Source organism: Homo sapiens, chromosome 8 (genome assembly GCF_000001405.40).
Source record: "Homo sapiens chromosome 8, GRCh38.p14 Primary Assembly".
NCBI lineage: Eukaryota > Metazoa > Chordata > Mammalia > Primates > Hominidae > Homo > Homo sapiens.
Window position 1 is genome coordinate 56,179,965 of NC_000008.11, and position 15,114 is coordinate 56,195,078.

The 15,114-nt window shown below is 41.1% G+C and overlaps 1 protein-coding gene across 4 annotated transcripts in view, besides 1 other annotated feature; it reads right to left on the bottom strand.

Annotated features, from left to right (window-relative positions):
• PLAG1 (PLAG1 zinc finger) overlaps window positions 1-15,114 on the bottom strand; it is a 50,365-nt gene that overhangs the window by 19,056 nt on the left and 16,195 nt on the right. The gene's annotated exons all lie outside the window — the stretch shown is intronic.
• Window positions 11,265-11,324: an enhancer, noted in NCBI's record as "active region_27399". NCBI's record gives its function as "activates an Ori minimal core promoter by ATAC-STARR-seq in GM12878 lymphoblastoid cells {active_cell/tissue: GM12878}" and the evidence as "EXISTENCE:reporter gene assay evidence [ECO:0000049][PMID:35858748]".

Here is a 15,114-nt window from a genome sequence, read left to right on the forward strand (position 1 = left end):
GGTGCAAGCCACTGAGCACCCTCAAGCAGAGGCAGAATAAGGAGCCAGGGACAATTTCTGAGCTCTTGAATTAGTCTTTATGATGCGATTATTGCTTGTTTTCAATTAAATTCCCAGGTCATGTCCATCCTCAACGACATACAAAGAAAATGCAAAATGTATTCTGAAGTATTCAATGTTTGCATCCGTCTGTTGGTGCAGGTTATGAAGACTGATCTCTAGGGATATTAACTAAGAGAGAAAAAGAAGCCACAAGTTCTATGCAGAAAATCACCTGCTTCATTTCCCTACAACAGAGGGTCAAGGCTCAATTATACATGGTTACCACTCTCCTAAGACGAATATCTGACACTGATGGAATAAACATTACCAACACCTATTATGTATGGTTCCAGTCTGAGTTACTGTGGGTATAGACTGACATGATCCCTGTTCCGTAGGAGCACACAGGTTAGTTGTGGCTGCAGAATATATACCTTTTGTCGTGGAGAAGCTCTTTAGTTTAATTAGATCCCATTTGTCAATTTTGGCTTTTGTTGCCATTGCTTTTGGTGTTTCAGTCATCAAGTCTTTGCCCATGCCTGTGTCCTGAATGGTATTGCCTAGGTTTTCTTCTAGGGTTTTTATGGTTTTAGGTCTTACGTTTAAGTCTTAAATCCATCTTGAGTTAATTTTTGTATAAGGTGTAAGGAAGGTGTCCAGTTTCAGTATTCTGCATATGGCTAGACAGTTTTCCCAACACCATTTATTAAATAGGGAATCCTTTCCCCATTGCTTATTTTTGTCAGGTTTATCAAAGAGTGAACAGGCAACCTATAGAACGGCAGAAAATTTCTGCAATCTATCCATCTGACAAAGGGATAATATCCAGAATCTACAAGGAACTTAAACAAATTTACAAGAAAAAACCCAGTCAAAAAGTGGGCGAAGGATATGAACAGACACTTCTCAAAAGAAGACATTTGAAACATATGAAATGTTTCAAACAAACATATGAAAAAAAGCTCATCATCACTGGTCATTAGAGAAATGCAAATCAAAACTACAATAAGATACCATCTCACGCCAGTTAGAATGGCAATCATTAAATAGTCAGGAAACAACAGATGCTGGAGAGGATGTGGAGAAATAGGAATGCTTTTACACTGTTGGTGGGAGTGTAACTTAGTTCAACCATTGTGGAAGACAGTTTGGTGATTCCTCAAGGATCTTGAACTAGAAATACCATTTGACCCAGCAATCCCATTACTGGGTATATACCCAAAGGATTATAAATCATTCTACTATAAAGACACATGCACATGTATGTTTATTGTGGCACTGTTCACAATAGCAAAGACTTGGAACCAGCCCAAATGTCCATCAATGATAGACTGGATTAAGAAAATGTGGCACATATACACCATGGAATACTATGCCGCCATAAAAAAGGATGAGTTCATGTCCTTTGCAGAGACATGGATGAAGCCGGAAACCATCATTCTCAGCAAACTACCACAAGAACGGAAAACCAAATACTACATGTTCTCACTCATAAGTGGGAGTTGAACAATAAGAACACATGGACACAGGGAGGGGAACATCACACACCGGGGCCTGTCATTGGCAGGGGGTGGGGGTGGGGGAGGGATAGCATTAGGAGAAATACCTAATATAGATGACGGGTTGATGGGTGCAACAAACCACCATAGCACGTGTATACCTATGTAACAAACCTGCACGTTCTGCACATGTATCCCAGAACTTAAAGTATGTATATAAAAAAAGAATATATACCTTTTGTCAAGTTAAGAAATATAAATGTTAAATAAGATCTGCCATAACGTGGTATCAGAGTGACAAATCAACATTTAAAAACAATATTATATGGTATAAAAAAGTACCACAGAAGGTCAGAAAAGGAAAAGAGTACTATGGATATTTGGTGATTTTTGCCTTAAAAAATGTACAATTAAGAAAGACAAAGAAAAAAGTGTGTGTGTGGTTGTAGGGGAGGGCATGACTGCCAAAAAAGAAGTCAGAGATTAGAACCACAGATGATTAGATTCTAAGATGACCTTCTGGCTACCGTGAAGTGTAATTTATACATGCTGTACGGATTCAGATGAGAAAAGTGCCCAATGGGCTGGACTGTTCACACTCTTGTACTCATTATGAGATGGATTGAAAGCACTGAGAACAGCAAATGCTTGGGGAGGTAGGACGGGAGAGGGAGGAAAGGAAGTGCTTGTTTGAATGAGACACAGAAGATATGTGTTGGAGTTATCCAAAGCGGAGATGAAAACCAGCAAAAATAAGATTTACTAGAAGAAAGTCCACTTATGTGCCTAATAGTATTAACAAAAAGAGATATGAGGAAGAAAGACAATGATAGTTGTACAGCCAACTCTTACAGAGACAGATTCAAGCCAAGTTACTGGTTAATTGCTGATAGAGCCTAAAGATCACCTCTATGAGGCAAAATCAGCTAATTTAAGGGGAGAAAGACCAGAGATAGAACTTCAAGGAGAAGGAAGAAAAATGTGGCGGAAACCACAAAGATAAAAATGCTAAGAGCTACAGAACTGGCCCATAGGTTCACCACTTAGGCATGAGGACACCAAACTTCAGCAAGAGAAGTTATTGGGTGGGGCGGGAGGGAGTGAGAGAATGGGAGGAGGGAGAATGAGAATGTGTAAATAAGGATAGCTCATTGGGTGATAAGCAAATGATATTCAACAAGAGGATGTTTTCTTTCTAGGAGCTTCGCACCTAAAGAGAAGAGAAAAACAAGGTAGGGGGAAACTCAAGATCCCAGGGGGAGAGACTAGAGAATGCTTCCATGCTGAGGACAAAGAGGCGGGGAAGAAAGTGGGGCATTCTTGGAAGAATCAGGGTAGAATGGGATCTAGAGAAGATGGAGAGGCTTTTGCCCTGGATAAGAAAAGGGGCTTCTTTATCAAACTAGACTTAGGAGGGAGGTATGTTCATCCTGCTAAGTTTTTTGGTAGCAAAGGCAAGAAATGCATGGAGTTTGCTCACCTTGGCCAGTGCTGAGTAGAAGGGTCCTATGTCTGGGAAGAATGAGAAAGGAGAATGGCACTTGGCTAGGGGAAAAATATTTGCCTTTAAGAGAAGCACAGGAGTGTCCAGGGTATCCTTGAGGGTTTTACAAAAACAAACAAACAAAACTTGCAATAAAGGATTAAATTGCTTAGTTACTGCTGATGGGAGTGTAAATTGTTGAAACCTTTCTGGAATGTATTGTGCAACTATGTAATCAAAGCCATATAAAAGTTAATATATGTTGACCTGATAATTCATTTAGAAAAATTTAAGCAAAAATAAAAAATATTTAAGTATAAAGATGTTCAAAGTATATTTTAAGATTAAAAATTGATAATGTCAGAAGAGGTGAAGTGTGATATGCATGTGACAGAACAGCTATGCAGCCATTAAAAACCATGCAGTTAAAGAATATTAAATCCTATGGGAAAGAGCAGTTAAAGAATACTAAGTTATGTGGGGAAAGTTACAATGTTAAAATTGTAAAAAGCAGGACATACAGTAAGCATTTACACTATTATTCCAATTTTTTAAAAGTATGCACTTAAAACTAGCTCTCCTTCTCCCAATACTGTTAAATGTACCTAGGTAAATTACAAACAGAAGATTAGGAAGATATAAGCTTTATACTTTTCTACATTATACAAATGTCTTTATAATCTTTACAATGTCTTTACAATCTTTACAAATGTCTTTATAATCAGAAAAAATTATTTCACCAAAAATAATGTTTTTTTAACAAATGCTGCTGGAAAAGTTTGATATCTACACATCAAGAAAATGAAATTGGAATCACATCTCACACCATATAGAAAACTTAACTCTAAATGGATCATGAACCTAAATATAAAACCTAAAACTATAAAACTTCTGGAAGAAAGCAGAAAAATTTCTGTGGCATTCATTTAGTCAAAAAGTCCTTGGTCACAACACCAAAAGCACAACCCATAAAATAAACACACTGATAAGTCGGATTTCATCAAAATGTAAAACTTCCCCTCAAAAGACAATGTTAAGAGAATAAAAAGGACAAGCCATTAGAAGATTAGAACAACATCTCTGCAAAGCAGAGATCAACTGTAAGTTGATAAACTACTTGCACCCAGAATATATAAAGAACTTCTAAAACTCAACAATAAAAAACAACTCAATTAACAAATGAGCAAAAGATCTGATCAGACATTTCACCAATGAAAATATATGAATGGTAAAGGAGCACACGAAAAGATCACTGATCATTAGGGAAATGCAAATTAATACCACAGTGAGATAATGCTATCTACCCATTAGAATGACCAAAATTAAAAACACTGGACAGTATCAAGAGCTGCTGAGAATGTGAAACAAATAGAATTCCTATCTACCATGGACAGGAAGGTAAAAATGGTACAATTGTTTTGAAAAACAGTTTGGCAATTTATTTAAAAGTTGAACATGTGTCTACCATATGACACAGCATTTCACATCTAGCTATTTACCAAGAGATCTGAAAACATAGGTCTTCACAAAGACTTGTTCATGACTATTCATAGTAGCTTTGTTTATAATAGTCAAAACTAGATGCAACCCGAAGGTCTATCCTTGTGTGAATGGATAAAATCAGGTTTTAGCCGGGCACGGTAGCTCATGTCTGTAATCCCAGCACTCTGGGAGGCCAAGGTGAGTGAGTGGCCAAGGTGAATGGATCATTTGAGGTCAGGAGTTCGAGTCCAGCCTGGGCAACATGGTGAAACCCCATCCCTACTGAAAATACAAAAATTAGCCGGTTGTGGTGGCAGGCGCCTGTAATCTCAGCTACTCCAGAGGCTGAGGCAAGAGAATCACTTGAACTTGGGAGGCTTGAACCTGGGATGCTTGAACCTGAGAGTCGGAGGTTGCAGTGAGCCAAGATCATGCCACTGCACTCCAGTCTGGGTGACAGAGTATGACTGTGTCTCAGAAAAACAAAAACAAAAACCCCAAAACAAATGAACAAGTTGTAGTATATTCCTATAATGGGCTACTAATCAGCAGCAAAAAGGAATAAGCTATTGATACATACAGTAACATGGATGAACCTCAAAATAAGCAGGCTGAATGAAAGAAGTTGGGCAAAACAAAGAGTACATACTGCACGATTCCATCTATACAAATGTCTAGGAAATGCAAGCTTATCCATAGAGGACAGGAAGCAGATCAGAGGTTGTCTAGGGACAGAAGGTAGGATAGGGAGGGATCCATCACAAAAGGCCATGAGCAAACTTTTAGAAATGACGGATATGCTCACTATGTTGACAATGGTGATGGTTTCAGGGACGTATGCATATATATGTGAAAACTGCAAGCACCCTTCACATATGGGCAGTTTATACAATATCAATTATACCCCCCAAAACTGTTAAAAAACAATAAAATGGCAGAGTTTTTGTATTATAAAAAACAAAATGATGAGAAACTCATCATCACATAAATTTACAGAAGTACGAAAATAAAACTTTCTGCAAACTGATAAACTAAAATCCTTTAAGTGCAATGACTCAAAATGACTAAAATCTCTCCTTCCCATTCAGAGGGAGGGAAAAAAGAGGAAAGGAATATTGGCTTAAATGTGAGTTGCACTCAGACCTTACTAGAAAAGGATATATATCTAGGCAGGTTTTAGAGCCACATTCTCAGCTGTCAAACTTGGAGGAAGCCAGTTCGGTTCACCTGTTGCTTTATGGGCTGGCATATCACACTACATGATTTAAAGTCTCCAAGAATACATCTAACTGGAACTGAGACCTACGGATGATAAATAGTTCTGGGATACGTTCCATTTATCAAATACCAAAGGAAGTACCCCCTGAAGTGTTTCAATTCAGCCTCTGCATAGCCTTTTAAAAAATGTTCATTAGCAGTTGCTTTAAAAGAAAGAAGTGCCATGCTAATTGATAGGCTTGCCTTTGATTAATTCAATAAAACAAATGAAGTAACACAGAAGCCAAGGTAACAAAAGAACAAGTATTAGCCAGGCATGGGCAGGTACTCCAGGTAGAGGGAGTCACAAACTGTATGGTGGGTCTAGGTAACTTCAGGGGATTCACTGTTTTTGGAGCTAAGAGCAAGAGAGGCAGACTGGAGCTCTGCAGGAGACAAGAAGGGTGAAGGAGCCATGGACGTGTCATGTCAGAAGGGGCTTAAACTTTAAAAATTATTTGTATAATTGACAAATTATCTTAAGTGTAGGTGCCTATACAACTTGCTTCCCCAACTCCTATACCCAATGCCATTTTTAGATTCTTCAGAAAGCAACCAATCTTTGTGTGCCTTTGTTGGTCTCCGAAACAATTAAGTGGTCATTCTCCTTTCAGTTTCTAATTAGGTTATTTTATTCATTTTTATTTATTTTTATTTTTTTTGAGATGGGATCTCACTCTGTCATCCAGGCTGGAGTGCAGTGGTGCAATCTTGGCTCACTGCAACCTCCGCCTCCTGGGCTCAAGTGATCCTCCTACCTCAGCCTCCTGAGTAGGTAGGACCACAGGTGCATGTCACCACGCCCAACTAATTTTTTGTATTTTTGGTAGAGACGGGGTTTTGCCATGTTGCCCAGGCTGGTCTTGAACTCCTGACCACAACTGATCTGCCAGCCTTGGCCTCTTAAAGTGTTGGGATTATAGGCGTGAGCCACCATGTCCAGCTGGTTAGCATTAAAAAAAAAAAAAAAAGTGACCTTCTTAAATTACTATTATTACATTATTTTGAGACCGAGTTTCGCTCTTGTTGCTCAGGCTGGAGTGCAATGGCGCGATCTTAGCTCATTGCAACCTCCGCCTCCCGTATTCAAGTGATTCTCCTGCCTCAGCCTCCTGAGTAGCTGGGATTACAGGCATGCTCTACCACGCCTGGCTAATTTTGTATTTTTAATAGAGATGGGGTTTCACCATGTTGGTCAGGCTGGTCTCGAACTCCTGACCTCAGGTAATCCACCTGCCTCAGCCTCCCAAAGTGTTGGGATTACAGGCATAAGCCACTGTGCCTGGCCTGACCTTCCTAAACTATAAACTCACTTAAGCCTTTGCAGTGTTTGCTGACAGTTAATTAACAAAATGGGGTTAAAACCCATCAATGCAAAGTCCCAGCCTCCTCCTTCTTGAAGCTTCAGCACCAGGATCTGGGGTGGCCCCTACACTGCATGATGATACACTCCTCAGTTTGCCCCCATTCCCCTGGTCTCCTTCCCTACTGCGATACACAGATGTGTTACAGAGAGAAGGTCTTTCCATCATCTCAGGCAGTATAGTTCTGGAAATCACCTTTGCAATGCTACTTTAAAACTCTGACTTGGAGAGGGCCCGAAAACATGAATCCTTGCCCTGATTCAGAACCTAAAGCAGTGCAGGGGAATAGCAGCAGAGAGACAAAGGCAAGAATCAGAACTAGGCTTGAATCCTGTCTGACCTTCACTATCTGTGTAACTACTTTCAATGATGTATTTAGTCTCTCTTCAGCATTTTCCTCTGTAGGATGGGAAAAACATCTACCTTGCAGTAGTGTGTGAATTAAAGTGATGTATGTAAAGTCTCTAGCATAGTTCTGAGGGCTCAAAATGCAAAGCTGTTATATTCAGAGTGTTACTCAGAAGTAAGTGCTGCCCTGGCCTGATATGGATTTAAAAAATAAGGGTTTGTTTTTTTTGGGCACAGGCTCTTATACGGAATCACAGTCAATGGAATCTTTGAAGGACAAACAATGGGAATAGTTCCTGAGAACAAGGCTCATATATAATGAGATTTGTATTAAAAGTGATATTTGGTGAAGTAGCATACTTCTGATCTTACTCATCTCTGTGGCATAGGCAGGGTGTACCTTAAATTTTATGGTGGCCATGGTCATACATAAACCCAAATCACAGCTAAAGTAAAACTGATCCACCGGAAGCCAGCAGTCAGTTTGCATGTTAAATTGAAAAGTAACTTGGGTAATATGTAATTATTGACTATCCAGCAATGGACTGACCCCTGTTTATGGCTTAACTTTGGTTGGTAAAAGATGATAATGCACCTATGAAAATATTATAATAGCTAAAAATCAGAGAAAATAGCTACATGTCAGAAAAAAATCTACTCGACTGAAGCACATAGGAGCCAAGATTCCACACTGTGAGTTCTACAACACAGGATGCCTCTTTCACATAGCCTTTCAAATTAAACCCCTTCTCTCGTCCTCCTGAAATGAAGGCAAGTTTGGCAAGAGGTTGCATGGAACTGAATCCCATCTTGCAGAGCCATTTGGTATGCGGGGAAGATGCAGGGAGGGGACAGGGATCTGATACGGGAAAAAAAATGAATACTCAACTAAGATTCATACCGCAAAGGAGGCTGCTCTAACAGATAGTAACTTCTTAGTCTTAAAACAAGCAATGTGTGATAGCTGATGCTTCTAAATTATTACGTGTATATTTTTCTTACACTCTTGTTTACCCCTTGAAGAAATGTTTCTAAACACTACATGCAACTTTAAGTAAACTTACATTAGGTCCACCTTATAAGTCACCTTTAGCACAGACACAGTGTATGTCAAATTTGTCTATAGGCACCTATCACAATGCTGGACTTGTTTGCTTTCTTTTGCTTTAAAAAACTTTACTGACAATGATCAGAAAGGAATGAATGATACCAAGACCTGAGTATGTACTTTCTCATGTATCCACCTGTGCAACATTAGACATGATTTTTTACCTTTCTTTAACTTCCATATCTTCAACTGTAAGAAGAACACAGTCGATTCTTGATTAACTGGGTAACTGGGAAGCAGGGGAGAAGGCCACCAATAATCATGGCTAAAACAAAATTAGTCACTGTGATTCGCTGACCAGTGGTGCCTTTGCTTGTTGAAATGAAACGTGTGGGGATAATATAAAACTATGGATCAATCCATGCTGGGGCAAAGGGGAAAAGATGACTCCAGAAGTAACAAAAAACAGCAAGGAAACTCTTGGTTCTGTCTGCAATATCTTCCACTGGGTCCCAGTGAAGGCCACAAAATGTAAGCTCTATCAGAACAGGATCCTGCCTTTTACTGACCAGTTCTGTATGTCTAGTACCTAGAACAGTGGATGCACACAGGGGAAACTCAAGTATGTGCTGAATGAATAAAAGGAAGATGAGAGGAAGGGCAGGAGGAGAGCTTTCCATGCTGTTGGCCAAATGAACCCACGGAAGAAAACAGTTGTCCAATCTATTTGCTCACCTCTGTGAATAACTGGGCATTGACACAATGCTTTAAATTTGAAAATTCTCTTGGATTTCCCTTGAGTCTCCTGCAATCAAGAAGACATTGTTCTCTTTCTTGACTTGGCCCACCCTCTACAGATATCAGGACGCTGCAGTCACTGTTGCCATCTTGTGGTCATGTCCAGAAAGTTCGTCTTCCCCAACAGACCAGTATAGACCCCCTATCTGCACAGAGCTCCGGGTAAGGGATATAAGAACAAACTTACAGATAAACAAATCCTTATCATTTAATTTAACTATCAAGGTATCATGGTGAACACAAAGATTAATCAGTCACCAGTTCTACCATCAAGGAGCTTGGGGTCTAGTAAGGAGGTATCCCAAAAGGATACTCATAATTTATAATTATTGATAATGCAAAACAGAAGGTAGAAGATGCCACAAGGTAAGTATAGATTAGGTACAGTGGGAATTCACAGAAAGAAAAGATCTTTCCAAGCTTTGGAGATGGGAATTTGGGACAAAAGAGCCAACTGAACTGAGATTGGGGTGAGGTAAGATGTGGGCCTGCACAGGTGAGGCTGGAGAGGTGGGGAGTGCGTCCCAGTCGGGGGAGAAGAAGAAAAGGGCAGACTAGGGTAGAAATGCTTATTCCTCCTGTGACTGGAGCTGATGGTGTCTTAAGGAAAGTGGTGGGAAGGGAGGCTGCAGAAAGGCAAGGCTGGAGTCGACTGAAGGCTGAGAGCCACTGCTTTAACAAGTGTAACTGGAGATGGAAGGGCTGCAGGACAGGTCACTCAGCCAGTGGTGTGGAAGCAATCTCACCTGGTGACAGCAAGTCAAGTGGACTAGCTCTCGGCCTTGGGTAAATGACTTATCTTTCTTCAGTTTCAGTTTCCTCAGCTATGAAGTGAGATAATGAAGCCCTACAGAGTTGTTGTGAGGAATAAATGATACTGCATGTAAGGCACATAACACAGTGAGTGGCAAAGGATTTGAAGAGCAGGGTAAGGACTAGGGGGAAGATGGCATACAGCAGAGACCATGGCACTGCAAGGTGTGGAAAGGGGCACGGAGAGGGGAAAGGAGGGACTATCTGGAGAATGGACAGAGTGGGGAAGCCAGCAACAGGTCGAAGGTATGCCACTGAGTAGCAGGGAAAGCCAGGATGCTCTAAGGTCACAGAAGCCAAGGGAAGAGAATGTTTCAGGGAGGTAGAGCCAAGGTAAGGACTAAACCCTACTTCCTCCTGGTTGTGTGACATGCAGGTTTTTAGTAAAATTGAAAAGAACTATTATACTTTGGGGAACCAGAATGGAGGCCTGGGGTGAGGAAGGAGTGCTGCATGAGGAACTGGGGGCACTAAGTCCACATTCCTCTTTGGAGAAATGCTATCAGCTGAAGGGGAAGGTACAGAGAGGACAGTGAGCTGTCACTGTTTTATTTTTTAAAAGATGGCAGAGATTTGTCATGTTTATAATGCTGACAGGAAGGATCAGGTGGAGAGGGAAAGGGAGAGAAAGGATAATGAATTAGAGGGGGCAGTACCCAGGGCATAAGAAGAGATAGAGGAGGACAGGGTGTGTGCAGATGCCAAACCAAAGACCATCAAGGCACAGGGGGAGGACACAGTAATTAATTTTGCTTCATAGAGTAGGTGACACATGAGCAGTTTTCAAGGATGAGTAGGTATTGGTCCAGTGAACTAAAGGGGTAAGAACATTCCAGCAGAGGAAATAGCACGTGCAAGGGCAGGCATGGGAAATGTGGCTTGACGTGCTGGAGGAACGTGGGAGCCCGGCGCTACGGAATTTAAAGGGAATGGGGGTATGTTCCCATGACAGGGCTGGAGAGTGACCAAGGAGGGCCAAACGACCACAGGCCCTGGACTCATGCCATCACTGCAGGCCTGCTTTACACGCGCTGCTTTTAGATCACCCAGTAATGTCACTGTCCTGAGTCATCTGGAAAAGGCAGGAGGAGAGGATTCTCCCAGGGCTGGGAGCAGGAAGATGAAGTAGAGAGCAGTGGAGAAGCAGAACATTCTAGAGCACTAGCAGGAGCCAGCGGTGGCAGCAGGGAGTATGTGAGACCTGAGCTAGAGAGAAGGAGGCCCAGAAGCATAAACTGTAGCAGCAGAGACAAAGTCAGCAGGAGCAAGGAAGGAAGTGGAGGCAGAGGACGCGAGCCTGTGGTCAGCAATGGCCATTTTAGGGTTCAAATTCACAGGGGTGGGGTGTTCCAGACAATGATGCGACTTTACAAGCATTATGCAAATGTGAGGTATTTTTAGTATGCACTGTAATTTCAGAGCACTTCGATGATGACTTTTGGAGTTCTAATACTTTAGATTCTCAATTGACATTGCTCAGATAGATAATAACTAAAGGTACCAAAAGAGGTGCCAATTTCAATCCTTTTTTTTTTAAAGGCAAATTGTTGGGTAATGTGAATAATTACTCCCTTAATTTATCTGCTTTACAAATTCCATTTAATTCAGAGTTTGGCAGGTGTGTTTTTCTCCCCACCTTAACAGAACCTGTGGTATTAACATAGGGTGATCTTTCATTTATCTGGCAACATCAATAATCTAAAACACAGGAAAAAAAAAAAAAAAACCCAGAAAGGAGGAACACAGGTTCTGAACTGCCAAAGTAGACACTACAAATCTACACATATCAAGCATTTCATATTGAGGAATGTACTATGCACCCTCACTCAGTGTCAATCTTTTAGGCAAAACGATAACAAGTTGGGGTTAACTGGGATTTTTGGTACAGGGAAGATTAGCAGCCCCAGGTATCAAAGGGAAATGCAATGACGGCAGGTGGTGATGGCTAAGAATGGAAAACACGAAGGACAAATTAAAACAAAAGAAATCAACAAGTGTAGAGAGAGGGAAGGTTGCTGTAAGTGGCTGTGGCCCATGGTGGGGAAAGTGAAGGAAATGGGCACTCCTGTGTACTACCAGCGACAGCGACTGTAAGTCTTCCCTGGAGGTCAAAGCTGCCATGCAATTGCCAAGCCAAAGAAAAGTGGGCACTTATCTTTTCGCCCACTCATTTTACACCTAAGCATTTAACTTAAGAAATAACCTGAGACACCCATAAAGATTCATGCATGAGGTCATTCATTACTGCATTATTTAAAGACTGGACTGGAAACTACCTACTCGCCAACAACTAGGGAAGGCTAAATAAACTGTGGTCATTCATTCTCAAGTGGTATAGCTTTTGAGGAATACAAAGAAGTAACATACAAGTACATGGGAAACAATCTTTATACAATGTTACATTTTTAAAAAGCAAGATACAAAACAAAGATCCCAATTCAATTTTTTAAAGTGTTACATAGTTTTATAGAAGAACATTCCAGAAGGAAATATCTGTTAGTTTTTAATGCATTTTTTAAAATGATGGGAACACTAATTCTACACCATAACACTACAGCTATGATAAATAGCTATATTCACTATATTGGTAGCAATGTTATCATGATTGCTTATGGCACTTAATTCAATATGTATTTCTTCCACATTCAATCTTTCCAGCTTTCCTTTTTAAGAGACTATAACGTGTTTGGAGGCAAAAAGCAGAACCTGAACCTTACAGAGCGTGTAAAGAATACAACAGGGATGCAATCCGCAGAACTCAGACTTGGGGGAAACACTACAGGACAGACAGACAGACACAAACACAAAAGACAAAAAACCCGTTTCTTTAACAAATGCGTTTTAAGGAAGAAAAAAAAATGAGTAACTGTGGGTCAAAAAAGACTTTAAGAAATATAACAGCTAACAGCAGGTATGGACCTTACTGGATTTGGATCATGGAAATCTTTAAAAACAAAAGATAAGTAGGCAGATTTGAAAACTCACTAGATATTAAGGAATTATTGTTCTTTTGGTGTGTGATAATTGTATTGTAATTATACCTTTAAAAAGAGTCTGTACTTTTTGGAAACACCAAGAAATATACAAATGATATGAAATAACTGCATCAAAAGAGTCTGCAGGAGAGGCAATGGGTATGGGTAGGGGACGAAGGAAACAAGACTGGCTGCTGAGGTGTGGTGACTTGAAACTGGCGATGGGTGTGAGGATTCATTCTATTGTTCTCTGTACTTCTGTATATCTTTAAAATATTCTACAATAAAAAGTTTTTTGAAAACACCTAAAGGCAGCACTACACTTCACCCTACACAGTAAACCTACATGTACATGTACCACAAGCTCTGGGTACATAAAAAAAGCTGGTTGACAATGACAAAGTCAGAAATTATTTATACAGTTTATGATGTTTACATCTTCTCCAACCTAAGGAATGCACATGATCATTTTTGTACCCTTGACCCTGCTACAAAGGCCACAGACCAATCAACTGATAATTCTACTCTACTGAGGCTAAACGGTTATTTCTAAGCATTCGAGACTGATGTACAAGTGACACAGTAACAAATGTTTAACAGTCAGATCTTTCATTAGGTAAACTTTTTTTTTTTTTTTTTTTTGAGACGGAGTCTCACTCTGTCGCCCAGGCTGGAGTGCAGTGGCACGATCCCGGCTCACTGCAAGCTCCGCCTCCCGGGTTCACGCCATTCTCCTGCCTCAGCCTCCCAAATAGCTGGCACCTGCTATTCGGTAGCAGGTACTACAGGCACCTGCTACCACACCTGGGTAATTTTTTGTATTTTTAGTAGAGATGGGGTTTCACCATGTTAGCCAGGATGGTCTCGATCTCTCGACCCCGTGATCCACTCGCCTCGGCCTTCCAAAGTGCTGGGATTACAGGCGTGAGCCACCACGCCCGGCCTTCATTAGGTAAACTATTTTTTAGAAAGAAATATTCCTGTAATCTCAGCACTTTGATAAGCTAAGACTGTTGGATCACTTTAGGCTAGCAGTTTGAGACCAGCCTGGCCAACATAGCGAAACCCCATCTCTACTAAAAAAATACAAAAAATGTGCTGGGTATGGTGGCACATGCCTGTAGTCTCAGCTACTCAGGAGGCTGAGGCAAGAGAATCACTTGAACCCAGGATGCGGAGGTTGCAGTAAGCTGAGATCATGCAACTGCACTGCAGCCTGGGTGAGAGGGCACAACTCTGTCTCAAAAAAAAAAAAAAAAAAAAGGAAAAAGAAATATTGCAGTTAGGCTATCAAGTAACTATTCAGCATATGATGACTAGTTATTTTTTAACTAATAAAGGTGGAGAATAAATGAGCGTAGCAAGATCAAGGAGCTGTGTCAGGCTGAGGTGGCAGAAAATGGTGGCTCATGCATGCAGTGGGTGCACTACAGTGGGAGAGACTTCGGTCATGGAGCAGGCAGGTGGAGGAACCGGAAGAGCATCTGCTGGACTCAGCACTGGGTGTGTGTGTGTGTGTGTGAATGTATGTGTGTTTGTGTGTGTGTGGCGTGTGTGTGTTTGTGTGTGTGTGGCATGTGTGTATGTGGGTGCAGCATGCGTGTGGGGCAGGAGGCCATCATGAAACCTTTGCCAAAGTTGCTTCGGGGGAGTGGTGAGGCAGGAGTCTGCCGGGTGTGGTTTGAGAAAGACGTGAAGGCCTGTAGGAGAAAGAGAATGGAGATGGCAGAGACAAGTGAAGACTCTGAACCGTTTTGGTCTGGAGAATCTTGAACACCTCCTCTGGCTGAAGGGAAGAAGTCAGTGGGACCAAACACAATCCCATATTCAATGGGACAGTGAAAGAGTGGATGAGCCTTGGGCAGAAGAGCAGAGCTCCTCTGCAGCCAAGAAAAGGAGGGGTTAGAAAGCAAATAAGGTGGGTGGTGAGCGAAGAAGCTGCTGAGGGTGCATATCTGACAGACTCAATTTTCTTAGTGAACTTGGGGGGTAAAGTTACCTAATG